Below are 26666 nucleotides of genomic sequence, written 5' to 3' on the forward strand. Positions count from 1 at the left end.
CAAGGTCCAATGTGATCAAGGGCACGCTCACCTCCCAGACCATTTTCCCTGATAATCTATGCTGACAATTACTCAAGGAGATGGGTCTTGAGATCATCTCCATTTTACAGATGACAAGACAGAGGTTCAGAGAGACTAAGTTCCTTGCCCAGAGCAGCAGAGCTAATGGGATTCAAATCCATATCTGGTCGAGTTCCTACCCACTATGTTTTACTGTCTTTCTTAAGTGGGAAATAGCAGCCCGGTCACTTCCTGAAAATTCTGGTTAGTTGAGATATTGGTTCCCTGAACCTGGAATAAGTATTTGGACCATGAAAGATCCCAGAGGCCTTGATTTAGGCTCAGGTATAAGAAATAGAGCCCCTGAGAGCCCGGCTGGGGATGTCCCTCCTTGAGGATGGGTGGAGAGAGGGCAGGATGATCCTCTCCGTCCCATAGCTGAGCCCTGACTCCCTTCTGTTGGCGGCACCTGCAGCAGAGAGGAGCTCCCATTGAGCTTGCGGGGCCCCCACCCCTGCCCTAGCTCCAAGTGGCTTTCACATTAATAACATGTAAGGATCCTCTGCTCGATGTGTGATAGCTCCTTCCAGGCAGTCGTCACTCTCCCAAATGTCAGCGTGTTCCTGGTGTCATTTGTTCTGCTGAGAAAGTTTGGAAGGGCTGAAGAAGGTTTCAGAGAGAGAAGCCCAGCAAGAAGGTGGGGGAAGAGGTGGTCCAGTGACCTGAAGTTCAGCTGTGTTCTGCCGGTAGATCTGGGTTTGGAAGGCCAGTGCTCTGGCTGGGCATACACCAGGGGTCAGGTGGCACAGGCTCCCTGGGCTGCTGAAGGTACAGGCTTTGCAGCCAGTAATCCCGGATCTGACCCTGGGCCTTAGGTTGTTCAACCGTAAAATGTGGTTAACAATAGGACTTCTACCTCCAAGGATTGTTATGACGATTAAAAGAGGCACAACATATAGGGCATTTAGCAGAGCTTGGGATGTGATAGTTCTCAAATAATGATGGGTATCATTACTGTCATTTTGTTGTTGTTATTCACAACAACAGAATCACATAGTGGTTAAGAACAGACCCTGGAGCCGGATTGCCTAGACACAGCTACTTGCCACTTAGTAACTGTGTGACCTTGGGCAAGTTATTTAACCATTCTGTGCCTTGATGTTGTCATCTGTGAATGGGGATAATAATACCTACCTTAGAGCAATTCAGGTGAGAATTAAATAATTTGATATATGCAAAGCACTTACAATTGGTACTAAATGTTAAATATGCACTTATTATTATTATTACTACTGCTATCATTATTATTTGCAGAGGTGGTCAGGGAAGGCAATTCCTGGAAAGAATTTTGGAGAAAATAATAGAAGAAAGCCAGAGCTCCAATAAGTAAGTGTTACTTTCCCAGGATTGTGAGGGCATAGGCTCATTTAGGGAGGGACCCAGTGCAGGCTGTTTGTTTTATTTTGTTTATTTATTCATTCTTGCTGGGGTGTGTGGCAGAGAAAAGAGGCCTGGGCTTAAAGTTCAGACAGACCTGGGTTCAGAATCCATAAGCTGGTGGCCTCAGGCAGGTCACCTCATGTCTTTTGCCTCAGTTTCCTCATCTGTAAAAAGGGAATAATGATAGTATAAAACCTCTAGGGGGCTGTGATGAAAATTAAAAAGAGCACGCTTGGGAAACCTTGGTGCCCGGCACCTTCTATGGACTGCAGAAATTAGTTAATATGTTGATGTTGTTACTGCATGTAGAGTCTACCCAGTGGGAGTTGGCAATTCAGACCCAGGGTTGCTGATACGACATCATCTACTCATCCAAGATATGCTGGGCTTCTACAGTGCAGCAGGCTCCCTCTAGGCGCTGGGGATGCTACTGTGAACAGGACTCCCAAGGGTCCTGCTTTCATGGAGCCGAGTATGCTGGGAATTCCATTAGTGTCATTGTAGGGGGGGTCTGAGAAACAAAAGAAATAAAAAGGCATGAGCATGCTTACTTCCTATTTTCTGGAGGATGTGCTGGGATCCAGAGCCACCCAAAAGAACTAACTCTGAGATGGGTCTTCAGACCCTGGGGAGGGGCTGGGGGCTGGGAATCCCCTAGGGGAGGGTGGGAACTTTTGTTTCTTACTACATTGAAAAGAAAAGGCACAGAATCTGGCAGCTATGTCTTTGTCCTACTTGGTCCCAGCACTACCTGTGTGGCTTCAGACTACTCTGTCCCCACCAGCTGGTCCCCAGTTTCAGGCATGCAGGGTGATCTCACCTACCTCCTGGGCTGTTTTGAGAATTAATGGTGGTACGCCCCGTACGAAAGCTCTATGAGGATGGCAGCCAAGAGAAACGTGGCTCTGGTTCCCAGGATCTAACATCCTTCCCCTGTACCACAGTCCCCTCTAAGGTCTCTTCTTCCCTGGCGGAACCAGCTTGGAGGCCCCTTCTTCTCCCGGGCCTCCCCTGAGCCTGGCGTCATATTTTCACCTGATTGGTGACAGCCCATGGGGTTTAGTGACCACTTTCCTCATGTGTTAGCTAACTCCTCACCAGGTGGCCGAGTTAGCAGGAGCAGCTGCCTCCCTCCTCAGCTTCCTGAAATGAAGGGCTGACCAGATCCAGAAATGCAATGAGAGCCCAAGGGGGAACAGGACACCAGGCAGTGTGGAAGGCTCGCTGGGCAAGGCTGGGCCAATATTGTCCCATAGTGGTTATTACCGTGCACTGCCAAGTGCGCCCTGGCTTGGATTCCAATCCTTGGTCAGCTGTGTGGTCCAGGGCAGGTGGCTTGACCTCTCTGAACCACAAGGATTCCATGAGGTCATGGATAAAACTGTTGACCACAGGGCCGGGTACATGGTTAGTGTTCAATAAATGTGAGCCATGACTTTGACTTCAGAGGCAGTGTAGCAGATGAGACAAGAACCAAACTGCCCGGGGTTCAAATCCCAGCTCTGCCACTGACATAGGCATGTCAGGTAATCTCTCTGTGCCTCAGTTTCCTCATCTCTAAAATGAGTTTAATAAAACATCCTTCCTGACGGGCATGGTGGCTCATGCCTGTAATCCCAGCACTTTGGGAGGACGAGGTGGGTGGATCTCCTGAGGTCAGGAGTTCGAGACCAGCCTGACAAACATGGTGAAAACCTGTCTCTACTAAAAATACAAAAATTAGCCAGGGGTGGTGGCAGGTGCCTGCAATCCCAGCTGCTCTGGAGGCTGAGGCATGAGAATCACTTGAACCCGGGAAGCAGAGGTTGCAGTGAGCCAAGATTATGCCGTTGCACTCCAGCCTGGGCAACAAGAGTGAAACTCCATCTCAAAATAAATAAATAAATTAAAAACATCCTTCCTAATAGGATTGTGGGGAGAAGTAAAAGAGTTTAGGAACATACATTTAAAGTGCTCAGAACAGAAGCTGGCACGGGGCAAGTGCCCCGTAAATGCCAGTGATTGTTATTTCTATTTTCTACCTTTGCATCCTCCCTTTCGTCCCCCTCATCCTTGAAATGAGAAGGTGGATTAGGTCATCACAGCTCGGTTCCCTGCTCCTTCGCCAGGCTTCCCCTCCTTCCAGGTCCCCTGGTCCCAACTGAGCCTCATTTGAGGCAGAGGGGTCCTCTGGAGGTTTGGGGATGGCCTGGGAAGGGAAAAGGAGGGGAGTTTCTTCCTGAACATACCCACCAGCAGACTCGGCGATAAACAAACACAGACCTATCGGCGCATAAACACAGACTCACTCCTGCACCCACTCAAATCCGCACACAAACTCATTCCACTCTGTCCCACCCACTCAGAAACCTCACCCCAGCCCCTGCCCAGGTCCCAGGCAGGGCCAGGTTTCTCCGGTGCGTCATGCGGCTTGCAGTGATTCTCCCCACAACTGGTTTCCAACTCAGCCAGCCCCGCCCAGCTGTAATTACAGAGAGAGCTGAAGCTTCTGTGCCCAGCCATGACGTCAGCCCGAAGCTTCCAGCCTGATGAGCTCACCCTACATCCAGTGGGGGCCCAGTCACTCGGGACATGTCATGCCGTGGGGTCCCCACCATTCTTTCTCAGCTGGGGAGGAGGGCAGGGGTCTCTGTCTGTCGGTTAAGCACAGATCCGGGATTCAGAACAACCCAGGTTCCCACCCAGGCTCTGCCACTCCATATCTGTGTGCAAGGGTCAAACCTCTGTGCCTCTGTTTTTTCACCTGCAAAATGGGGGTGATGATAATAGTGACGTTTAACTATCGAGTCAGGATTTAACTCAGTAATGTCTGAAATGTACTAACTCTAAAAGCAGACGCACAGGAGGCAATGGGCGACAGTGATTGTTTTTCTCCGTATTATTATTTTTAGCAAACTGCCTCATGCACTCACTGTTTAATATCAAAACAATTTCTCAACCTATGACTCACTGAATTCCTTAATATCCTCAGTTTACCCTCATCTCGTGAAGAAGGCAGGGCTGAGACCCGAAAGCCCACACAGGGAAAACGACATGCCTAAAATTTTCTGCCTGTTGCGGACAGATCAAAGATTAGAACCCAAGCCGAAGAGGCCTCCAAGCCAAAGGAGGATTTGTAAATTCATTCTTCCAGCTGCATGGGAAGAGCAGGAAAGTCTAGATTTGGGGCTTTGAGTTTCAGACCAGACCTCCTGCCTGAGTGTAACATCTTTCAATAATTATCAGTATTAACAGTCATAATAATAATAGAAGCTACTATTCATGAACACTTCTATGGTAGTTTTCTCATCTGTAAAATGGGATAATACTGGTACTCTTACCTCACAGGATTGCTGGTGAGGGTTAAATGAATTCATATTTATAAAGCCCATAGAGCAGGGCCTGGCATATAGCAAACATTATGTAATTGATAACTCAAAATTGAAAATACAAGGAGAAAGAGAATTACCTCATGTATTCTTCATGGTACATCTGTGAGTTGGCTACTGTTATGTCCGTTTATAAGGAGGAAAACTAACAACCTGGAGGTGCCTGGGAATAATGTTACTGCCTATAAAGATGCTTTGATTGACCAAACATTAATCGGATTTCTGAATCTTCTCCTAAGCCCATCAGTGAGGTTCCTTATAAAAATTCAGTTTTGGGCCAGGCGAGGTGGCTCACGTCTGTAATCCCAGCACTTTGGGAGGTGGAGGCAGGTGGATCATGAGGTCAGGAGTTCAAGACCAGCCTGGCCAAGATGGTGAAATCCAACTCTACTAAAAAATACAAAAATTAGCCGGGCACGATGGCGGGTGCCTATAATCCCAGCTACTCGGGAGTCTGAGGCAGAAGAATCGCTTGAACCTGGAAGGCGGAGGTTGCAGTGAGCGGAGATGGCGCAACTGCGCTCTAGCCTGGGGGACAGAGTGAGACTCTGTCTCAAAAAAAAAAAAGAAAAGAAAGAAAGAAAAATTCAGTTTTGGCATGAACTCTGCTAAGTCTGTTTAGTAGCAACCACCCATCTTCGATTTCTGATCACCCTCGATATCTGATTAGTTTCCTCATCCTCCGCGGTCCCCCAGGTGATGTCTGAGCACCCTGGCCTGTCTTCAGCAAGAATCCTCTTAGGTTAGCTGAGCCCGAATCCCTCTGACTCCTGGACTTCCCTCCTAGTAAATTTCCATTCGCTGACCCCCCACCTGCTTCTTGGCTACAAATTCACACTTACCCATGACCTACTGGGAATCAAGTCTAATCTTTCTCCCTCACTGCAAAATCCCATTGCAGGGGTCCCTACATCTATGGAGAAAGTTTCCCTGCCCAGTAAAGTCTTGCTTGTCATACTTTAACAAGCGTCATATGAATATATATATACACATTAAAAAAATTTTTTTTTTCCTTTACCAATCTCCCCAGAGGGCATTGAGGCTCTAGGAGCTTGGCCATCTTGTAAGTGGGGATTGCAACCCAGGGCCATCCTTCAAATCCACTGGGCTCCTGTCTCTCTCTTCCCTTTCTGCAGGTCCCCAGGGGAAAGGCAGGATACGACACGCTCTAGGGAAGGTATTTCCAGAGGGTGACCTGAGCCCTCAGCCAGGCTCGGGGTTATTAATAGCCAGGCCTTAGTGCCCCGCTCGGGGAGGGCGGCTCCAGCTCCTGGAGCAAGAGGAGGGCGGAGCTGAGCGGAGTGGCCAGGGGAGGAGAGAGTGTCCGGAGAGGCCGGCTGAACTTGGACGCGGCCCCTCCCAGCTCCCCCCACAGCCCAGCTGTTCCCTCCGCGGATTCTCCGGGGCTGGTTCATCACCTCCGAATATTCCTGTGACAGGAGACGCTTGCAAAACCCGCCTCCAGCCTCCAGCAGCAAATAAATAGAAGGCTTGCAGCCCAGAAGGAGCCAGAAGAAGTTTCTAGGCGCGCGTGCCCTGGGTTTATTAAGCTCCTGGCTCCGCTCTAGACCTCAGCGGTTCTGGCTGCCAGCCTGGGCAGCCTGGGAAGCCTGGGAGGACGGTGGCTTGCCGGTCTGTCGTGAGGCAGTGCGGACGGGGACCCTCTGGGATTCTGCTGGATCTGCCCCGGGGGTTACCTTTGGGGGCTGGGACCCCAGTCGAGGGGACACAACCGTCCCTGGCAGTGGTTGGTTCTGCTTCTCCCTGCAGAAAAGCAGCATTTTCGGAAGCTGAAGAATAAGCTAGCCCAGCCACACCACCTTGTTGTGTGACCTTGGGCAGGTGGTTCTGTCTCTCTGAGCCTCTGTTTCTCTCTGAGCTGAGCAGCCACCATGGCTGACGGTCAGATGCCCTTCTCCTGCCACTACCCAAGCCGCCTGCGCCGAGACCCCTTCCGGGACTCTCCCCTCTCCTCTCGCCTGCTGGATGATGGCTTTGGCATGGACCCCTTCCCAGACGACTTGACAGCCTCTTGGCCCGACTGGGCTCTGCCTCGTCTCTCCTCCGCCTGGCCAGGCACCCTAAGGTCGGGCATGGTGCCCCGGGGCCCCACTGCCACCGCCAGGTTTGGGGTGCCTGCCGAGGGCAGGACCCCCCCACCCTTCCCTGGGGAGCCCTGGAAAGTGTGTGTGAATGTGCACAGCTTCAAGCCAGAGGAGTTGATGGTGAAGACCAAAGATGGATACGTGGAGGTGTCTGGTAAGTCAGGGGCAGGAGGGAGAGAGAATGGGGAGGCCGGGATGTAGCCCTCAGCCCTGGGAATAGCCAGAGAAAGTTTCCTGGGAGCTGACGTTGGGACAGTGTGACACAGGTGACCTCAGGGCTCAGGAATGCAGCCTGCAAAGTTATCTTTACGGAAAACTTCTCTCCCGGCTCCCAGCAGAGATCTTAACCTGCCTGACTCAGCTATTGGGGCCTCTGGGTGCTCATCAATCATGGTACAGACAGGAAAATAGAAACCATGTTGGATATTTTGACAGAGGGCATTTAATATAAAGAATAGGTTAAGCAGATATCAAAGAATTAAAAAACAAAGAAGAAACGGGATTTTGTGCACTCCAGCATCATAACAGAGTCTAGAAGTGCACGTTAAGGCTGAACAATGATAGTGTTAATAACCGCAACTGGTTTCCGGTGAAACACCTCTCCTTGTCCCAGACAGGGAAACTGAGGCTTACCAGTAATTGTAGTAACACTAACTGGTAACTCTGAGTGCTAACTATTCGCTCAGCACTTTGCTAACTGCTGTTGCCTATAATATCTCAGCTAATACCACAACCAGAGGAGGTGGGTACTGTTTATCTTCTTTTTTCAGATGAGGAAACTGAGGCACGGAGAGATTAAAGTAACTTGTTCAAGGCCACCAAGGAGTCAGACCCAGGTTGTCTGGGAATTAGGAGGCCAGAAAGAAGAAGTGATGATTTACTGAGCACCTACTAGGTGCCAAGGGTGGGCTGACATTCTTATACTTCTCCAAAATCATCCTCAGTCCACTCCAGGGTAGCAGGGTAGGCCCATCTTGCAGCTGAGGAGGCTGAGGCCTAGGTGGGACTCGTTCACAGTCATGCCATGAGTCAGCAATAGGAGTGGAGTAGGGACTGGGCCTATGCACAGCTTTAGGCCCAGGGCTCTCACTGCCGCATCCCACCCTGGGAGAAATAAACATACTAGGGGGAAAAATGAGAGAAGACAGGAAGCTCAGCCCCTGTGAAGCTGGGCAGTAGAAAAATCTTTCTTTTCCTTCCCTCCTGATTAACACTCCATTAAAAAGAATGTGTTCCCGGCAGAGGCTTGCCTTCCAGAAAATCAGTCAAAGCCATTGCAAACACAGGCTGGGCAGGAACAAGCCCCAGCAGCATTCAGGGGGAGTTTCAAGCCAGTCCTGGTAGAATTATAAACATCAGAGGCTCCAGCGGGTGTGGTGGGCTGGGAGACACGCTGGGGCCACGTGCTGATGACAGGGTCAGCCAGATTTCTGAGTTGGCTGGGGAGCAGGGCATGAGTTCCGAAACTGGCTCCAACTTTAACCAGCAGGATGTGCAAATTACTTCACTTTGTGCTTCTGTTTTGTTTCCTCATCTGGAAATTAGGGTTCAAATGGTTATACCATAAGGATTGTTGTTTTAAGTGAGGTGATGCTGTAAAATGTGTACATACCTGTGAACCCAGAAAATCTGAGACAGATCTCAGTTCATTTAGGAAGTTTATTTTGCCGAGGTTGAGGACACTCCCATGACACAGCCTCAGGAAGTCCTCCTGTCACATGCCCAAGGTGGTCTGGGCACAGCTTAATTTTATACATTTTAGAGAGACATGAGACATCAATCAATATATGTAAGAAGTACATTGGTTCGATCTAGAAATGCAGGACAACTTGAAGCAGGGAGGGGTTTTCCAGGTCACAGGTAGGTGAGAGACAAATGGTCGCATTCTTTTGAGTTTCTGATTAGCCTTTCCAAAGGAGACAAACAGATAATGCATCTATGTCAGTGAGCAGAGGGCTGCCTTTGAATAGAATGGGGGGTAGGTTGGCCCTAAACAGTTCCCAGCTTGACTTTTCCCTTTAGCTTAGTGATTTGGGGGCCCCAAGATTTATTTTCCTTTCACATTCTATGACCTGGAACACAAGGAATTAGTATTATTATTGTCGTCGTTATTGTTATAGTGTCAGGCATCCAGGAAGGCCCCAATAAATAATGAATAATAGATGCTCTTTGAAACCTGGGTTCAGATCCCAGCACTGCTGTTCACTAGCATGGCGGATGTGGACGAGAAAGTCTTCATCCCTCTGAGCCTCATTTCTCCTATTTGCAGAATGGAGACCATAATAATATCTGTCCTGTAAGGGTGTAGGAAAGATTAAACATATGCAGACTATCTATGATAATATATGCGGAGTGTCTATAAAATGGAGCTAATAATAGTGCTTGCCTGGCACTCTGTAAACAGACCGATTATCACCATTCCTTCTGTCCTTGTTTTAATTAGGGTCTTAGATGCTTCTAGCCCAAGTCCAAGGGTCGACTCCACCCTGTGGTCCCTCTAGGAGACCCTCTGTCCAGCCTGGAGGGTTTTTCACCATCCTCTTTTGTAGGTGCTTCATAACAGGTGGGGTCTGGCAGCTCCATGTTGAGATCTCAGCTAAGTATCTTACTAATCCAGAGGCTTTGGGTGAGTCATGCAGTCTCAATTTCCACGTCTGTAAAATGGGGTCATTGGGAGCTTAAATAAGACAAAGACAAAGCTTTTCAGACATGCAATTAGTGACATCGGCTAGACAAAATCCAAATTCCCTGAGAGTCCATACAAGGGCTTTCATAAAAGGGGTTTAAAAATAAAATTGATATCAGGAGCTCTATTTAAGAAGCAACTTTCGGGCCGGGTGCGGTGGCTCATGCCTGTAATCCCAGCATTTTGGGAGGCCAAGGCGGGAGGATCGCTTAAGGTCAGGAGTCTGAGACCAGTCTGGTCAACATGGCGAAACCCCGTTCTACTAAAAATACAAAAATTAGCCGGGTGTGGTGGTGAGCGCCTGTAATCCCAGCTACTCAGGAGTCTGAGGCAGGAGAATCGCTTGAACCTGGGAGGTGGAGGTTGCAGTGAGCTGAGACCGTGCCACTGCATTCCAGCCTGGGCAACAAGAAAGAAATTCTGTCTCAAAAAAAATAAAAAATAAAAATAAATAAAAAGCAATTTTCAAGGGAAGTTGGAAGTCAGATCCAGTTTCCCACCCTATACCACAAAATGACAAATCCGTTCCTCCACAAGCACGTGCTAAAGGCCTACATGTGGTGGCTCAGTGGTTCCTCACAAGGACCTCCTAGGAAGTGTGGGTAGGTTTGTTAACCCCATTATACAGATAAGGAAGCCGAGGCCCAGAGAAAGTAACTCACCTGAGATTACCCACTTCTCCCTGGCAGTGTCTGACATTCAATGTCAGGCCTCTCTGGCTGGTTCTGAGTCAGGATGGCTGGATCTACTTCTGGCGGTGTGGCCCTGAGCAAATCCCACAGCCTCTGGAGCCTCAGTTTTACTGTTGGTCTTATGAAGAGGTAGACAAGATCAGAATTTACCAATGTACTTCAAGCTGTTACTAGGCATCTAGAAACAGGAGCAGGAGAGTTCAAGGTCTTGTATGGTGCCAGTAAAAACAAAATTATAAACAGGTCTTCTCACTGCAGGACTTATCAGAGCCTTTAAGTCACTAATGTAGTTTATGAATCTCTAAGAGGCAGCCCTATCTTATCTGACCACGTATGAGTGTCTCATTCAAGGAAGTGTTTGGAAAATGCTGGACTAGACAATTTCCAGCAAGCCTCAGATTCCCCTACCCCCATCCTGCAACCACCAGCCAAGAAATGTTCCCTTCATGGGCCACTGGGCCAGACCCTGGCTAAGATAGAGACTGGAAAGCCCCAAGGCCTTATTTCCACCCCTTCTCCTTAGTCCCAGGGACTCTGCCTTCCCTGGAAACAGCACTTTCTTTCTTTAGCTGGGCCAATAGTGTTCCACCTACATTTCTCTGAGGCATGTTGAAAAAAGCATGTCTGCAAGGGGTTTCTGACTTCTCCTAGCCTCTGGATGTATTTCTAAAAATCATAATAATTACTTTTTTCAGTTTACAAAAATAAAATGTCTTCATGATAAAATATGTAGTTAGGAAAGCAAAATAAGAAATTAAAAATCACTCATAATCCTTAAGCTGCCCCAATCTAAGTAGGCAAATGATAAGCAAATTGAGTTTCAAGATGATCCTCCTAGCAACACTCTCTTTAAATGAGGTTAACCCCACCTCCAGGCCCCTCTTTTGGAAATCTTGGAGCTTTCCCTGCTCAGAGATCCTCCCTTCCCTCACCCCAATACCCTATTTTCAGAGCAGACAGAGGCACCTAGTTTCTGAGGAGCAGTCTTTTCCCCAAACATCAAAATAAACCACAAGTGTTTACCTTCACATGGTACTTTTACAACTTCCAAAGCCATTCTGTGACTCGCTTTCATTTGCTTCCTACGGTAACCCGGTAAGATAGGTGTCGTCATTCCCATTTCAGAGAAGAATAAACTGAGGCTCAGAGAAACTTAGAGATGTGCCAGGAAATGTCAGAGTAGAGACTTAAGTCCAACACCCAATATTCCAGAACCTGTCTGCCTGCTTTTGAATCTTTGCACCAGTCACTTCCAAGCTGTGTGACCTTGGATACAGCACTTAACCTCTCTGAACTTCGGGTTTCCTATCTACAAAATGACAATAATGAAAATGCCTGCTTATATTATTATTTTACTATTATTATTTAAGGTTGTTGCAAAAATTAAAGGAGTTGATACAGATAAGGTGCTTAGAACAGTGGCTGACACCAAGGAAGCGCTATATTACTTGCTATTATTATTTATATTATCAGTTTTTATTCCCAGGACACCAGCATGCAGGAGGATTCTAGGATGCAAAAGGGCTGAGTCAGAGGCACTGGCCTGTCCCCAGGGGAAGCAGGTCTCCCGGCGCCCTGGCTGTGGGGAGGGTACCAAAGAACAGACAGTGCTCTTCTGGGCACAGGCCTGTGCTAGAGCCAGGCAGTTGGTGGTCATGGAGTTGGCAGCACAAGGTAGACTCTTTAAGCGGCCACACATTCACAGGATAGCATGTTCTGGTTAGCCAGACACTCCAGTTTAAAATGAATTTCTTTTGCTGAGAGCAATTTAGGAACATAGATTAAGCCTTAGAAATTCTGGAAGTTGCATTAGTCCTCAGTTAATCCTAAAGAAGTCATAGGGCGGCCTGGTGTGAGGTTCTAGCTACAAGAATGTTCAGGGCCACGAAGTTCTCGCCAACGTTGGAAACTCTTCAGCACCCCAAAGTAGGGGATTGGTTAAATTAGCTCTTATGTATTCCTCAATAGAACACTGCAGCCATTAAAAATTATGTTGTCAAAGAATATTTGGTAATATGGAAAAGTAATTATAATGTGTTAGCAAGAGAGAAAAATAAGTTCCAAACATAATGCAGAGAACTATCCCATTTGATAGAATACTGATATACATGGATACTATGTAACATTTACACATTTCTGAGAAACATAGAAAAGTCGGAACATATAAAAGATATTATTAATAGCTTCCGTGGGGTGACAGGATTATAAGTAGTTTTGATGGCTTTTTTTTTTAATTTTTTCTTTTGTTATTGTTGTTTTTTTTAAATTTAGAGACCAGATCTCACTCTGTTGCCCAGGCTGGAGTGCAGTGGTGCATTATAGCTTACTGTAACCTCAAACTCCTGGGCTCAAGCAATCTTCCCACCTCAGCCTCCCAAATAGCTAGGACTACAGGCACACACCATCACACCTGGATAATAATAATAATAGTAATTATTATTATTATTTTGAGACAGAGTCTCACCCTTTTGCTGGGCTGGAGCGCAGTGGCGCGATCTCGCCTCACTGCAACCTCTGCCTCCCGGGTTCAAGCAATTCTCCTGCCTCAGCCTCCCAAGTAGCTGGGACTATAGGCACGTGCCACCATGTCCAGCTAATTTTTGTATTTTTAGTAGAGACGGAGTTTCACCGTGTTGGCCAGGAAGGTCTCGATCTCTTGACCTCGTGATCCACCTGCCTCGGCCTCCCAAAGTGCTGGGATTACAGGCATAAGTCACCACGCCCTGCCTATTATTATTATTATTATTATTTTTAGAAACAGTGCCTCTCTATGTTGTCCAGGCTGGTCTCAAACTCCTGGCCTCGAGTCATCCTCCTGTCTCAGTCTCCCAAAGTGCAGACATTATAAGAGTGAGCCACTATGCCCGGCCTATTTTCTGCATTTTCTAACATACACATGCACTATCTTAAAGCACAAAAAAAGCTATTAACAAAGAAATAATTAAAAGTAATTAGCTATAAGTTGTCAGTTTAAAAAAATCTGGACTGCTATATTCAACAAAGTTGTTTACATTCTAGATTTCAAGGCCCCTCAGAAGCACCTCCCTGTGTAAATGAGGGTTCTTGCCTCCAGAAGGTGGCCCCACAAATGAGGAGTGAAAAGTAACAGCCGAATGGCCCCACTGTTGTACTAATCTTGTTTGTTTAAAGAGAAACTACAGACACTCTCTCTATTAAAGAAAAAAAGAATGAGGAGAGACCGAGAGAATTAGAATGTGCTATATACATTACAAGATCAAAACCAGTTTAGGCCCAAGTCTTCTTGTAATTTCATCTTTTTCCTCCCTGAGGGGGTTGGGAAGCCCTCTCTTACCACAGGTTAAGAGGCGAGAGGTCTGGTGGAATTTCACATCCACAGTGCCCTTAGGAAAAGCTGGGTGTTTTTGGCAGATTGAAGCATTCTTTTTCCAGGCTGTGCTTTCACTACTGGGTACAGATAATGTGGCTTAAAGAGCTAATCGGGAGCTGGAACAGACAGAAATTCAAGAGCAGAGAGGCATCAGGACCTAGAACTTGGCCTAGACTCAGAGAGAGCTGATTCAAAGCTCAGAGCCACCAGGGACCTGCTGGGCGACCCTGGATCCATCACCAAGCCTCAGTTTCCATGTTGGAAACAAAGGGAGAACGACGTCTGGGCTCAGAGTTAGGAAAGCACTCTGTTAGCTATAAAGCAAGCTACATGGCAGAGTCGCCCTCAGCATGTGACCCCGCTTCAAGCCTGCCATCCAGTCTGGGATGTCAGACCCAGGGTTCTACTGGCAGGTTAGAGAAGAGGAGTCAGGTGGGAGACTTGGAAGATTTGGTACAACACATGGAAGATTTGGTACAACACAGAAGTTTCTGCGATTTCCTCAGACTAACCCTTAATTAACTACAAACCACGGTCTACGCCTCCTTTCCATCAATTATCTTATTTCACCTTCATAGCCAGCCTTGGAAGTGGACTTAGGTGGGTCTGTATGGCAGACAAGGTCCTTGAGGCTTAGATAACTAGAGTCTCTAGGGTAGGCCTAAGTCACACAGCAAGGCAGGTCCAGGGCCAGGATTTGAACCCAAGCCTCAGTCCTGAAGGATGCCCAAGGAACATAGATGCTGACACGCCACACTTTTCTTCCTTCCAGGCAAACATGAAGAGAAACAGCAAGAAGGTGGCATTGTTTCTAAGAACTTCACAAAGAAAATCCAGTAAGTAACCTGGAGTCATGGAGCTCAGGGTGGGAGTGGAGGAGGGGGCACACCTGGGACCCATGATCTGGGGTCTCTCCCTCTTGGGCATCTCTCTTTTAAGACACCTCCTTGGGGCAGGGAATTGAACCCTCACACCTAACGAGGAGAAAATATCCCAGCAGACCTGTAATAGGGTCCCAGAAGGGGGAGCACATAGATTGCATCATCTCATCTGCTCGGTGCCCTGTGAGGTGGGTATTAAAAACCCCATTTTATTTATTTATTATTTATTTATTTATCTTGAGACCGAGTCTCACTCTGTCACCCAGTCTGGAGTGCAGCGGTGTGATCCCAGCTCACTGCAACCTCCACCTCCTGGGTTCAAGCGGTCCGTGTGCCTCAGCCTCCTGAGTAGTTGGGATTACAGGCATGTGCCACCATGTCCGGCTAATTTTTTGTATTTGTTTAGTAGAGATGGGGTTTCGCCATGTTGCCCACACTGGTCTTGAACTCCTGGGCTCAAGCGATCCACCCACCTCAGCCTCTCAAAGTGCTGGGATTAGAGGCTTGAGCCACTGCACCCGGGGAACAACTCCCTTTTATAGACTAAGCATCTGAGGGTAAGCAAGACAATGACTTGTCCACAATCACACAGCCCCTACCCATGGGGCATAGCTGAGGGAGGACCCCTGTCACCATCCAGAAAGACCATCCCCTGATTCCCCAAATGCCCCAGCAGAATATCTTCCAGGCTGCTTGCTCAGCCTCTGCCCTGCCAGGAAAATGAGCACCTTCTCTAGGGCATCCACAAAAATGAAGTTGGAAAGTGTCCTGAGAACACTGCATACTACCCAGAGAGGTTTGGAGGCTGAGACACTGGGACACAGGAAGAGCTATTTTGCTGAGGGGAGTAGAAGGGATTCATGTTTAACAGGGAAAGGGAGCCTGGGGGAACCGTGAGAGCAGCCAAGGACAATCAGGCTGAGGCCATGAACCAAAGCCACCACGAGCCCCTAGCTGGCAGTACCTATAGGGAGCAGAGTTGCACAGTGTGGTCACGATGGCTGCACTTAAACAACTGCCAGGTGCTTCATACATACCTTCTCCCTAATCAGCAATCAGCGTCACTCCACTATGTGCGTTTCTGGCCCCTAAACTCTCTCTCTCTCTCTCTCTCTTTTTTTTTTTTTTTTTGAGATGGAGTCTCACTCTGTTGCCCAGGCTGGAGTGCAGTGGCACGATGTCAGCTCACTGCAACCTCTGCCTCCTGGGTTCAAGCAATTCTCCGGCCTCAATCTCCCAAGTAGCTGGGATTACAGGTGCATGCCACCATGCCTGGCTAATTTTTGTATTTTTAGTAGAGACGGGGTTTCACCATGTTTGGCCAGCCTGGTCTTGATCTCCTGACTTCAAGTGATCTGCCCGCCTCTGCCTCCCAAAGTGCTGGGATTACAGGTGTGAGCCACTGCGCCTGGCCCCTAAACTCTTTTCCAAGCCATCGTTGCATTTAGCCTTTGCAGCAAAAGTGTGCATCGGAGAGGAGACATGACCCTCCTTGCAATACAGGGAAACTAAGTCTCCCACAGGTGAAAGGACATACCCAAGGTCTTTACAGCTAGAATTTAGAAGGGCCCAGAATAGATCCCTGACCTCTGAGTTCCATGCTCAGTCCTTGGGCAAGGAATGCTGTTTCCTCATCTGTGAAAGGGATGCTGATTCCAGCCTTGCAGAGTTCCTGGCTGAAAGTGACATAAGGTCATGGCCCAGCGTAGGTCCTCATAAGTGGGAGTTCATTATTACTATTGTTATTGTTGACTCTTAACTTTTCCATCAGCCTTTGCAAAGAAATTCTGTGTGTGGAGAGATCACACTAGCTGAATTCTGAGGCTTCTTCCAGCTTGGGATTCTACATTCCTGTCTCTTCCCCCACATGTCCGTCCCTGGCCCTCCCACAGCCTCTGCAGTTCTTGGAAGCCTGTGGACACTTCCTGATAAGGCAAACGCCAAACCATTTGTTCTTCGTGTTTGCTGGCTTGCCTGGCATCTCCGTGCCCCACACCTCTCCCTGGTTTAGCAAGCAGATTAAACATTGCTGAGGGAGAGGAAGGAAGGCAGGGGGTGGGGGGAAGCTGATGTCAAGGCTCAAATGAGGTCTCAGGGTGGAGTCACAAGCAGGGCATAGCTGTAAAAGGGACTGTGTAAGAAAGAAGTGAATTAATCATCTTAAAAGGGGTGTGTGTGTGTGTGTGTGTGTGTGTGTGTGTGTGTGTGTATTTCACATGCTCCAAGGCCTTAGGGGAGATAGCTTGCTGGAAGTAACCTGATGAGAAATGCCTGAAATTGCTCCAGGCTGGTGCTCAGCTGCTGAGCTGGGCTAGTTGTTAAAATATTCAGTGGTCCCCAACCTTTTTGGCACCAGGGACCAGTTTCGTAGAAGGCAATTTTTCCATGGACTGGGGAATGAAACTGTTCCACCTCAGATCATCGGGCATTAGATTCTCATAAGAAGCATGCAACCTAGATCCCTCGCATGCACAGTTCACAACAGGGTTCAAGCTCCTATGAGAATCTAATGCCACTGCTGATCTGACAGGAGGCGGAGCTCAGGCAGTAATGCTGGCTGAACTGCTGCTCACCTCCTGATGTGAAGCCTGGTTCCTAACAGGCCACAGATGGGTGCCGGTCCATGATCCGGGGGATGGGGACCCCTGAATATTGGCTAGCTATTGCCCTGAGCCCTCCCTAGCCAACCCCAGTCACTCTGATCTTGTCCCCAGGACCCTCTAAACCTCTCCACCTTCCAACAACTAAAGGGTCCCAGGACCCTCCTCCATCACTATGACATGCACCCATCCCTTCTGAATGGTCAGTGCCCAGCTGCACTAGTTGTTAAATATTTTGAATCTCAGCTCCGGGTGCAGGGAGTCCTGGCTCCATGAGAAAGTGAGTGGGTAACTTGGGGCAACTTGCTTAACTGCTCTGACCTTCCATTCCCACATCCCTGCATGGAGGGGTTGTGATGGGAGTGAGAGGATGTGTATAACGCATTAAGCATGGAATACAGACTCAGGGCTTGGTCCATGGGAATTAATATTATGAAAAGGCTTCACAAGGCTGGACTCACACTCCAGCAGCTGGGACTCCTGGGAGCTCCTGGCTCTGCCCAGACTCTAGACACCTAGGAGTCGAACTGGGGTCTGGGACACCTCTGGACCAATCTCAGGAGTCCTCGTTGCCTCCTCTCCCAGGGAAAACTCCAGTCATTAGAGGACAGGGAGATTCCTTCAGCCAGGCTGAGATCCTTGGAGATTTCCACCCAGGCAGGATGCTGCAGCTGTTTGCCTTAACCATGGCAAGGAAATTCATCTCAACACATCCATCTCTGTGTGAAAAGCCCCATTTGGACTGAATAAGGAGGAGAGGGAGAGGTCTTGGGTCTCAGCTTTCAAAGTCCATGATCTTCCTATTTGGTTAGGGGAAACCAAATTACAGTCATTTGCAATACCGTCATTCACATCCCATCTTCACTATTTTTTGCCTTATATGCTTACATTGCTGTACCATGATTTACTAAAGGTTTTTTTTTCTTTTAGATCATCTCATTTTTGATAAAGTTAAATTCTTATCACTGAAATGTTCACTGAGGAAAGCGATCATGAAATAAATCCAATGAAAGCAAACTGTGGTTAAATTCTAACTAGATAATATTGCCTGCCTAAGGGCCTCAGCTCTCTCATTGTTAAAAAGGGAAGGTAGCAAGTGATAGAGGCTAAAGGCGTTAAAGGCATGTTAGTACTTAGCAGAGACATTCCTTCAGATGTAAGTAGAAGCACTGAAAGAGAACTGAAGAGGAATTACTTTCCCACCAAATGGGTTTAAATACAAGTCACTTGGTTAGAGACCTTGGACTTGTCTATCTCTCTGAGTTTCAGTTTCCCCATAAGTAATATAAGAGCATTGTCATGGACAATCAGGAAGATCCTTTGGGGCCCTGATACTCTGTGGTTCAATGATCCTGCAATTTGTATGATACTCCATCTTGCTGTCAAGATGCCAACATGTAAGGTCAAAGACTGCAACGTAATTCTCACTCCACCCTAAGAGGTGGGTACTATTATTGCCCCCTTTTTTTCTGCAAAGAAACAGGTTCAAAGAGTCAAGATCACCAGCCCCATGTTGTGTGGTCAGGAAGAGTCAGAATTTGAATGCACGTCAGCCTGCCTGCAAAACCCATGCTCTAGGCCATAGCCACCCTGTCACACTGTACCTGGTGTGCACTGGGTTGGTGTGCACATGGTTAAACAGTCAGCCCATCCCCAGCATTGGGAGGGAGGTCTAAACTTTTGACTTTGTCTCCGCTTCAAAAGCTTGACTTGGCAGCTTTCTAGTTCCCTCTTTTTCTTCCAAATGGGCTTCCCAGAAGCAGCCTTGTTCATCTCCATGGTTCCAATCTGGCAAGGAATCTCCTGGGTAGATACGGCTCATGTGGCTACAGGTTGTTGTACCCACAAAAAAAGAAAGAAAGAAAGAAAAAAAAAAAACTCCCCAGCCCCTCCAGAAGGAGTCCTGCCTATGATCAGGAATGGGCTTACCTCATGCCTTGGTTCTTTCATCAAGACCCTCGTATTTACAATAGGCAGAGCCAGCAGGGATCAGTGGAAAGATTTTGATTGAACTGCCGGTCCTTCCTGCCATAGTCCTTCTTTCAAATGTCTGGTGCTGGGGGAGGCAGGAGAGCATCATGGTCAGATACTCTGAGTTTGGAGACCAGGATTCCAATTCCATTTCCTATCTGCCATTTGCCAGCTGAGCAACCTTGGGCAAAGCAGTTCACTTCTCTGAGTCTCAATTTCCTCATCTGTAAGATGGGGATAGCAATGGAATCTGCCTGGTGGGATTATTGTTAACACCAAAATGATATGATTCAGCTAAAGTACCTGGCACATAGAAAGTACTCAGAAGGTCATGGATTTCATGGTTAAAAAAAATAATGGCACCCCAATGAGATCACTAATATGTCCTCACAGTTTTAATAGTTTGTTGAAGAAACCAAATTCTCAATAGTCTCATTCACCCAAAGCAATCCAAAAATCATAAAAATACCTTATTAGAAGTTGGACCAGATTTAGGTTTAGAAATTCCATCTTCGATGCTTTCTCACTTGTTGAGCTTGTCATTTGATTTCCCCCAAGTCTCTGTTTAGTGATCTGTAGAATGGGCATATTAATTCTTACCTCTTAATCATCCTCTTACAATACTCCAACCAAGTATTGTCTATAACTGAGTTTTAAGAACAAGATAATTGGCTGGGCTCGGTGGCTCACGCCTGTTATCTCAGCACTTTGGGAGGCTGAGGTGGGTGGATCACAAGGTCAGGAGTTCGAGACCAGCCTGGCCAACATGGTGAAACCCCATCTCTACTAAAAATACAAAAATTAGCCAGGCATGGTGGTGGGTGTCTGTAATCCACACTACTCAGGAGGCTGAGGCAGGAGAATTGCTTGAACCTTGGGAGGCGGAACTTGCAGTGAACCAAGATCGCGCCACTGAACTCCAGCCTAGGTGACAGAGTGAGACTCTGTCCCAAAAAAATAAAAGGAAGAACAAGATAATAATGATCTGCTAAGTGATTGTATTAGTCTGTTTTCACACTGCTGATAAAGACATACCTGAGACTACATAATTGATATATATATGAAAAAAAGAGTTTTAATGGACTCACAGTTCCACATGGCTGGGGAGGCCTCACAATCATGGCAAAAGGTGAAAGGCACGTCTTACATGGCAGCAGACAAGAGAGAAAATGAGAACCAAGCAAAAAATCTTATAAAACCGTCAGATCTCGTGAGACTTATTCCCTACCATGAGAACAGTATGGAGGAAACTGCCCCCTACCCATGATTCAATTATCTCCCATCAGGCCTCTCCCACAACGTATGGGAATTATGGGAGCTACAATTCAATATGAGATTTAGGTGGACACAGCCAAACCACATCAGAGATACTTAGGGTATGAACAAAATCAAGGCTTATTTTGAATACCATCGAGTATGTTGCCATCTGAAATCTACATGTGGCCAGCTTGGCCCCTTTTATCCACCAAGGTACCTAGTGCTTGCATCACCATTAATGCATTTTGTAGTGAAGCACTCTCCAGCAAGCACATGTCAGATGAAAATGTGTTGCCTGTTATGATAACACCTTACTTGCGCTCTATAAAGGGATGGTAGTGGTGCCATTTCTGCTAGTAATTGTGGTCAGTAGTGGGTATTAAGGTGATGACTTCAACCTGGGACCAAATATGTGGGCCACAGCTCTCTTTTAAGTTAAGAACTACTGTTCAAACAGCATTTTACCATTTGCAAAGCATACTCAGACTCTGAAGTTCAAATACTCTACAAGTTCAGTATTATTATCCTCATTTTGCAGATGAGAAAACAAGCTCAGAGCAACTGAATAATCTTCCCAAGACCACACAGCTAGAAAGGGGTAGAGCCAGGATTCAAACCCAACATTGTATGTCCCCAAAGCCTAAGCTCTTATCAAAAATATTTCCTCTCAAGTGAATAAAAGAATGTTTAAGCAATATTAACAACAATAAATGAATAAAATCGTGTGTTTCTCCTAGGCTTCCTGCAGAGGTGGATCCTGTGACAGTATTTGCCTCACTTTCCCCAGAGGGTCTGCTGATCATCGAAGCTCCCCAGGTCCCTCCTTACTCAACATTTGGAGAGAGCAGTTTCAACAACGAGCTTCCCCAGGACAGCCAGGAAGTCACCTGTACCTGAGATGCCAGTACTGGCCCATCCTTGTTTTGTCCCCAACCCTAGGGCTTCTCTGATTCCAGGATACATTACTTTAGCTGAACTCAGATTTAGTGCAAGTAAAATGTTAGAGGGTGCGGGGGTGAGGACTGACCACAGATTCCCTGGATAGTGTAGTGGTAGATTTCTCCACAGGATAGCGCAATTGGCAAATCATGCTTGGTTGTGTTAGGCCAAAATACTAGTTTTGCTTTCTTTACCTTTTCTATCTTGATGAAAATGTTGCACATTCTATAGTTGCAAAACACATAAAAGGGGACTTAACATTTCACGTTGTATCTTACTTGCAGTGAATGCAAGGGTTACTTTTCTCTGGGGACCTCCCCCATCACCCAGGTTCCTACTCTGGGCTCCCGATTCCCATGGCTCCCAAACCATGCCGCATGGTTTGGTTAATGAAACCCAGTAGCTAACCCCACTGTGCTTCCACATGCCTGGCCTAAAATGGGTGATATACAGGTCTTATATCCCCATATGGAATTTATCCATCAACCACATAAAAACAAACAGTGCCTTCTGCCCTCTGCCCAGATGTGTCCAGCACGTTCTCAAAGTTTCCACATTAGCACTCCCTAAGGACGCTGGGAGCCTGTCAGTTTATGATCTGACCTAGGTCCCCCCTTTCTTCTGTCCCCTGTGTTTAAGTCGGGATTTTTACAGAGGGAGCTGTCTCCAGACAGCTCCATCAGGAACCAAGCAAAGGCCAGATAGCCTGACAGATAGGCTAGTGGTATTGTGTATATGGGCGGGACGTGTGTGTCATTATTATTTGAGTTATGCTGTTGTTTAGGGGTAAATAACAGTAAATAATTAATAATAATAATAATAATAATAAAGGAGCTGACGTTCTTAGCCTTGTGTGGTTCTTTTAATGAGGAACTAAATGTAATACCACCTAGATATACAACATCAGTTAGCAATGCTGTGGCTTAAAGTAATGTTGCGCGGAGCCGCGATGCCTAAAGGAGGGAGAAAGGGAGGCCACAAAGGCTGGGCGAGGCAGTATAGGAGCCCTGAGGAGATCGACGTACAGCTGCAGGCTGAGAAGCAGAAGGCCAGGGAAGAAGAGGAGCAAAAAGAAGGTGGAGATGGGGCTGCAGGTGACCCCAAAAAGGAGAAGAAATCTCTAGACTCAGATGAGAGTGAGGATGAAGAAGATGACTACCAGCAAAACCGCAAAGGCGTTGAAGGGCTCTTCAACATCGAGAACCCCAACCAGGTGGCACAGACAACCAAAAAGGTCACACAACTGTATCTGGATGGGCCAAAGGAGCTTTCGAGGAGAGAACGAGAAGAGATTGAGAAGCAGAAGGCAAAAGAGCGTTACATGAAAATGCACTTGGCCGGGAAGACAGAGCAAGCCAAGGCTGACCTGGCCCGCTGGCCATCATCCGGAAACAGCGGGAGGAGGCTGCCCGGAAGAAGGAAGAGGAAAGGAAAGCAAAAGATGATGCCACATTGTCAGGAAAACGAATGCAGTCGCTCTCCCTGTATAAGTAACCGCGACCCATGGGAGGAGATGCCGGGGACCTGGGCCGCGCTGCCAGGACCTCTGCTGTGTCTCGCCCACCCTGTGCCCTGGCGCCGCCGCAACAGCCCCTCGTGGCCAGGAGCCCCCCATGGCCTGGGGCCTCCTCTTCATTTTGGCACAGAAATTGTTTGGGGGATGTGGGGGGAGCTGGGGGAGGGGCAGTTGCTATCTTTGAGACAGAAAGATGAGGGACAGCATTTCACATGTAACCATTTGAATGTTTTTGCTGTTTTTAGAATTCAGAGCCCTTGCTGGGGGGTGCCTGGGAGATGGGGTAAGAAGAGCTTTCATTTTTCTGGTAGATAGCATGTAAGGGGGTGGTTGTCCCAGGAGGCAGCTGCTGACAGGTTTGCTACACCCAGCCCCGGACTGTGTTGCCTAGGTGCTCATTCAGAGAGGGGCTGTCATCTGGGAGCCTGTGCCCCTGGGTCCTCGAGGGTTATGGCTTGTCCCTGGTCAGTCCTGTCTGATCGAGGCCTCGCCTCTCTGCCCCTCCCTGCCCAGTTCCTACCCACCTGGCTAAGGCCAGTGCCCATTTTTAACCCTACCCATTGATCATTTCAAGAAACCTCTGTTTACTGTGTGGCACCCAGGCAAAACATGTTCCACAAGTTCAACTTGTATATTTGGCAGATTAAACTTGACATTATCGTAAAAAAATAAAAATAAAAAATATAAAAAATAAAGTAATGTTGCCTGATGAACAGTGGCTTAAATGATATAAATAGCTGTTTTCTAACTTCACAAAAAGTTTAGAGGTAAGTAGATACACAGTTTTTTTTTCAGCTGTTATGCCACCAAGAGCCCAGGATATTTCCATTTTTTTCTCTGCCATCTCTGACAAGTGTACATAGTCACAGTCTATCCTCATGGTTACAAGATGGCTGCAGCAGCTCCAGGCATCTCATCCTCATATGACAATGTATGGGGAATAGAAGGAAGTCATAAAAAGGTATTATCACCTAGCTTCTTTTATCAGTGAGCAGGATATCGTCCAGAAGCTCCCAGCAGACTTCTTTTTCTATCTCATTGGCCAAAAGTGGGTCACATGCCTACCCTGAGACCAATTTCTGCCAAAAGGGAAAAGGATGGTCATGACAGGCTTGGATCAACATCTTCTGAGGCCTGCAACATTGCTACCTGAACAAAACAAGGTTCTGCTAGGAAGGAGGAAAGAGGCCTAGCAGCTCTGAGGGCAGTTAACAGTGCTGTGGCTGCCACGGGTTTGGATGCTGCCAGGAACACAGATCCCTGACTGTAGGGTGGGAGGGAGAAGGGCTGCTGTGGTAAGTGCCAGGAGACCCAACTCAAACTAATTTAAACCAAAAGGGGTTTTTATTGGTGCACATAGCTGAGAAGTCTGGGATAAGAGCTGCTTGCTAGGAGAGCTGGATTCGGGGCACTAATGCTATCAACAGAATTGTTTCCCTCCATCTGACGTGGCCCTGCAGTAGTGGCTTCATTGCCACTCTCCCTGTTGCCCCCGCTTCCCACGCTCTCAGCCCTCCATGCCCCATGTCCTCTCATCGGGGCCACAAGGTAGCTGCAGTCACTACAGCTCCACAATCCACATTCCAGTCCTGAGGGAGAAAAGCCAGTCTTCTCCCACAGCGTCTGCCATTTTGGATAGTGATTCTTTTTTTACTTTTTTTTTTTTAGACAGAGTCTTACATTTTGTCACGCAGGCTGGAGTGCAGTGGAGCTATCTCTAGTTCACTGAAAGCTCTGCCGTCCAGATTTAAGCGATTGATTCTCCTGCCTCAGCCTCCCAAGTAGCTGGGACTACAAGCACCCAATACCACGCCCAGCTAATTTTTGCATTTTTAGTAGAGACAGGGTTTCACCATGTTGGCTAGGCTGGTCTGGAACTCCTGACCTCAAGTGATCCACCTGCCTCAGCCTCCCAAAGTGCTGGGATTACAGGCGTGAGCCACAGTGCCCTGCTACTTATTCCAGAGTCATTCTTAGTGGACCAGCCTGATCATATGATCATCCCTGAGCCAAGTGTAGGTCAAGAAATCAGTGCTTTGATTGGCCAGGCCTGGGTCACACGCTCCATCCCTGCAGTCAATCCCATTTAATCCCACAACATTCTAGGAAGTAGATGCTGTTATTTTTGCAATGAAAACACTTGAGGCCAAGAGAGAAGTGGCCTGGGTAAGTCACGTGATGACAGCAAAACTTGAACTTATATGTTTTATTTTGGAAGGTCAATAAGGAGCTACTGGGCTGCTTCTCAAGGACACCTCCAAAACCCCCAAAAGACAGCAAAATAAGTGACTGAACACCCACTCTGCTGGGTCCTGTACTAGGAGCCAAGGGCATAGCAAACCATGAGTTGCAATCCCAGCCTGCAAAGCGCTGTCAGTTCAGTAGCAGAGACAGGCAAATAAAGAGTGGCCCTCACTGAATCTTTGATTTGTGCAGACACCATGCTGGGTGCTTTATGTATATTTAATACATTTAATTGCACTACAATCATACGAGGTAGGTCCAATTTTCTTTTCTTTTCTCTCTCTCTTTTTTTTTTTTTTTTTTGAGAGGGAGTCTCACTCTGTCACCCAGGCTGGAGGGCAGCGGCACAATCTTAGCTCACTGCACCCTCCACCTCCCAGGTTCAAGTGATTCTCGTGCCTCAGCCTCCCCAGTAGCTGGCATTACAGGTGCCTGCCACCACGCCTAGCTAATTTTTGTATTTTTAGTAGAGACAACATTTTCACCATTTGGCCAGGCTGGTCTCTAACTCCTGACCCCAAGTGATCCACCCGCCTTGGCCTCCCAAAGTGCTGGGATTACAGGGGTGAGCCACTGCACCCAGCCGAGGTAGGTCCAGCATTTATCTCCATTTTTCAGATAAGCAGAAGTGCCCTGCCCCAAATCATATACCTGGTAAGCAACTGGCCCAGGCAGCCTGACTTCAGGACCTTCACTCTTCACTATTACTCTATTCTGACTTTCTCCTAACAAAGCAAAAGATGTGTGCCTTAAGTGAGTCCATCCAAATTATGGGAAGAGAAAAGAGGTGTTTCAGATTGGGGCTTTGCGGAGCGCAGGGGGATCAGGGGTGTCTTCTTAGAGAAGGGTTCACTTGTGGCAGGCTTGAGGATCAGGCACAGATATAGGACTTGAGCAAGCAGGGTTTGGGGCAGGGAGGTGCCTCACAGGCAGAAGAAAACACATGAGCCAAGGCAAAAGGCATGTTCCTTTTAAAATCCTTTCATGGTTCCCCATTGTTTACAGGATTGAGTGCAGACTTCTTTGCAAGACTTATTAGGCTGCTGGATCAGTCCCTGGGTGACCTTTTTCCACTACAGCTCAAACCCCTACTCTCTCCCTCCTGCCCCACCTAACTTCCCTCTGTTCCTCTAACCAGACAGGTGCTTTCTTGCTACCAGGACTTTGAATACACTACTCTCTCTCTTCCAAGGATTACTGTCCCACCCTCTTCATTGGCTAATTCTTTGGGGTCTCTGCTGGGTCTCCTACCAGGCAGGCCAGAGCCCCCTCTCACTTACCCTTATCCCAACACAACACATCATATTGTAACAGCCTAGGTATTTTTGTAGCAGATAAATAATAATAACAATAACAAAAATCAAAACTGATCCTAGCTACTCTGTTTTCAAGGAAGGGAGGAGGAATCATTTCAAGCCTAGGGGAAAATCCTTACCCATCTGATATTTGCTCAACAAACATTTACTGGACACCTACCATGTGCAAGGCACTGGGCTGGGTGTTAGATACTGTTTCTTCCCACTTTTAAGAGCCTGGTGAGAGGAGGAAAGTAAGATTGTTATTTCCAAGTTCTCTAGTTCTAGGCCACTGAATGGTGAGACCCCAAGCAGGTAGAGTA

The 26666-nt window shown here is 47.4% G+C and overlaps 1 protein-coding gene, 2 long non-coding RNA genes and 1 pseudogene across 5 annotated transcripts, besides 2 other annotated features; 2 read left to right on the top strand and 2 right to left on the bottom strand.

Annotated features, from left to right (window-relative positions):
- LOC105370024 (uncharacterized) lies at positions 1453-3872 on the bottom strand. Its single transcript, NR_134996.1, has 2 exons — positions 3795-3872; positions 1453-1951 (listed from the first exon to the last, which is right to left on the bottom strand). It is a non-coding gene; the product is annotated as an uncharacterized LOC105370024 (long non-coding RNA).
- Positions 3543-4742: an enhancer, noted in NCBI's record as "CDK7 strongly-dependent group 2 enhancer chr12:119613960-119615159 (GRCh37/hg19 assembly coordinates)". NCBI's record gives its function as "activates an origin of replication core promoter dependent on BRD2, BRD4, P300/CBP, MED14 and CDK7 cofactors, with strong dependence on CDK7, by STARR-seq in HCT116 cells {active_cell/tissue: HCT116}" and the evidence as "EXISTENCE:reporter gene assay evidence [ECO:0000049][PMID:35650434]".
- Positions 5922-6671: an enhancer, noted in NCBI's record as "H3K27ac-H3K4me1 hESC enhancer chr12:119616339-119617088 (GRCh37/hg19 assembly coordinates)". NCBI's record gives its function as "activates a minimal SCP1, AML or CMV promoter by ChIP-STARR-seq in primed H9 embryonic stem cells {active_cell/tissue: H9 hESC(primed)}" and the evidence as "EXISTENCE:reporter gene assay evidence [ECO:0000049][PMID:30033119]".
- On the top strand, positions 6319-22134 carry HSPB8 (heat shock protein family B (small) member 8). Its single transcript, NM_014365.3, has 3 exons — positions 6319-7067; positions 14413-14476; positions 21087-22134. Exons 1-3 carry the CDS (start codon positions 6701-6703, stop codon positions 21244-21246), a joined length of 591 nt encoding a protein of 196 aa, NP_055180.1. The 5' UTR covers positions 6319-6700; the 3' UTR covers positions 21247-22134.
- Positions 8555-11483, bottom strand: HSPB8-AS1 (HSPB8 antisense RNA 1). Of its 3 annotated transcripts, XR_007063482.1 has the most exons (3): positions 11315-11483; positions 10262-10409; positions 8555-9590 (listed from the first exon to the last, which is right to left on the bottom strand). It is a non-coding gene; the product is annotated as an HSPB8 antisense RNA 1 (long non-coding RNA). The 3 variants fall into 3 exon arrangements; XR_001749345.2 differs by lacking the exon at positions 11315-11483 and having other exon boundaries at positions 8555-9567; positions 10262-10671; XR_001749344.2 differs by lacking the exon at positions 11315-11483 and having other exon boundaries at positions 10262-10671.
- PDAP1P1 (PDAP1 pseudogene 1) lies at positions 22228-22979 on the top strand (annotated as a pseudogene).

The sequence above is a fragment of the Homo sapiens genome, chromosome 12, assembly GCF_000001405.40.
Source record: "Homo sapiens chromosome 12, GRCh38.p14 Primary Assembly".
Taxonomy (NCBI): Eukaryota; Metazoa; Chordata; class Mammalia; order Primates; family Hominidae; genus Homo; species Homo sapiens.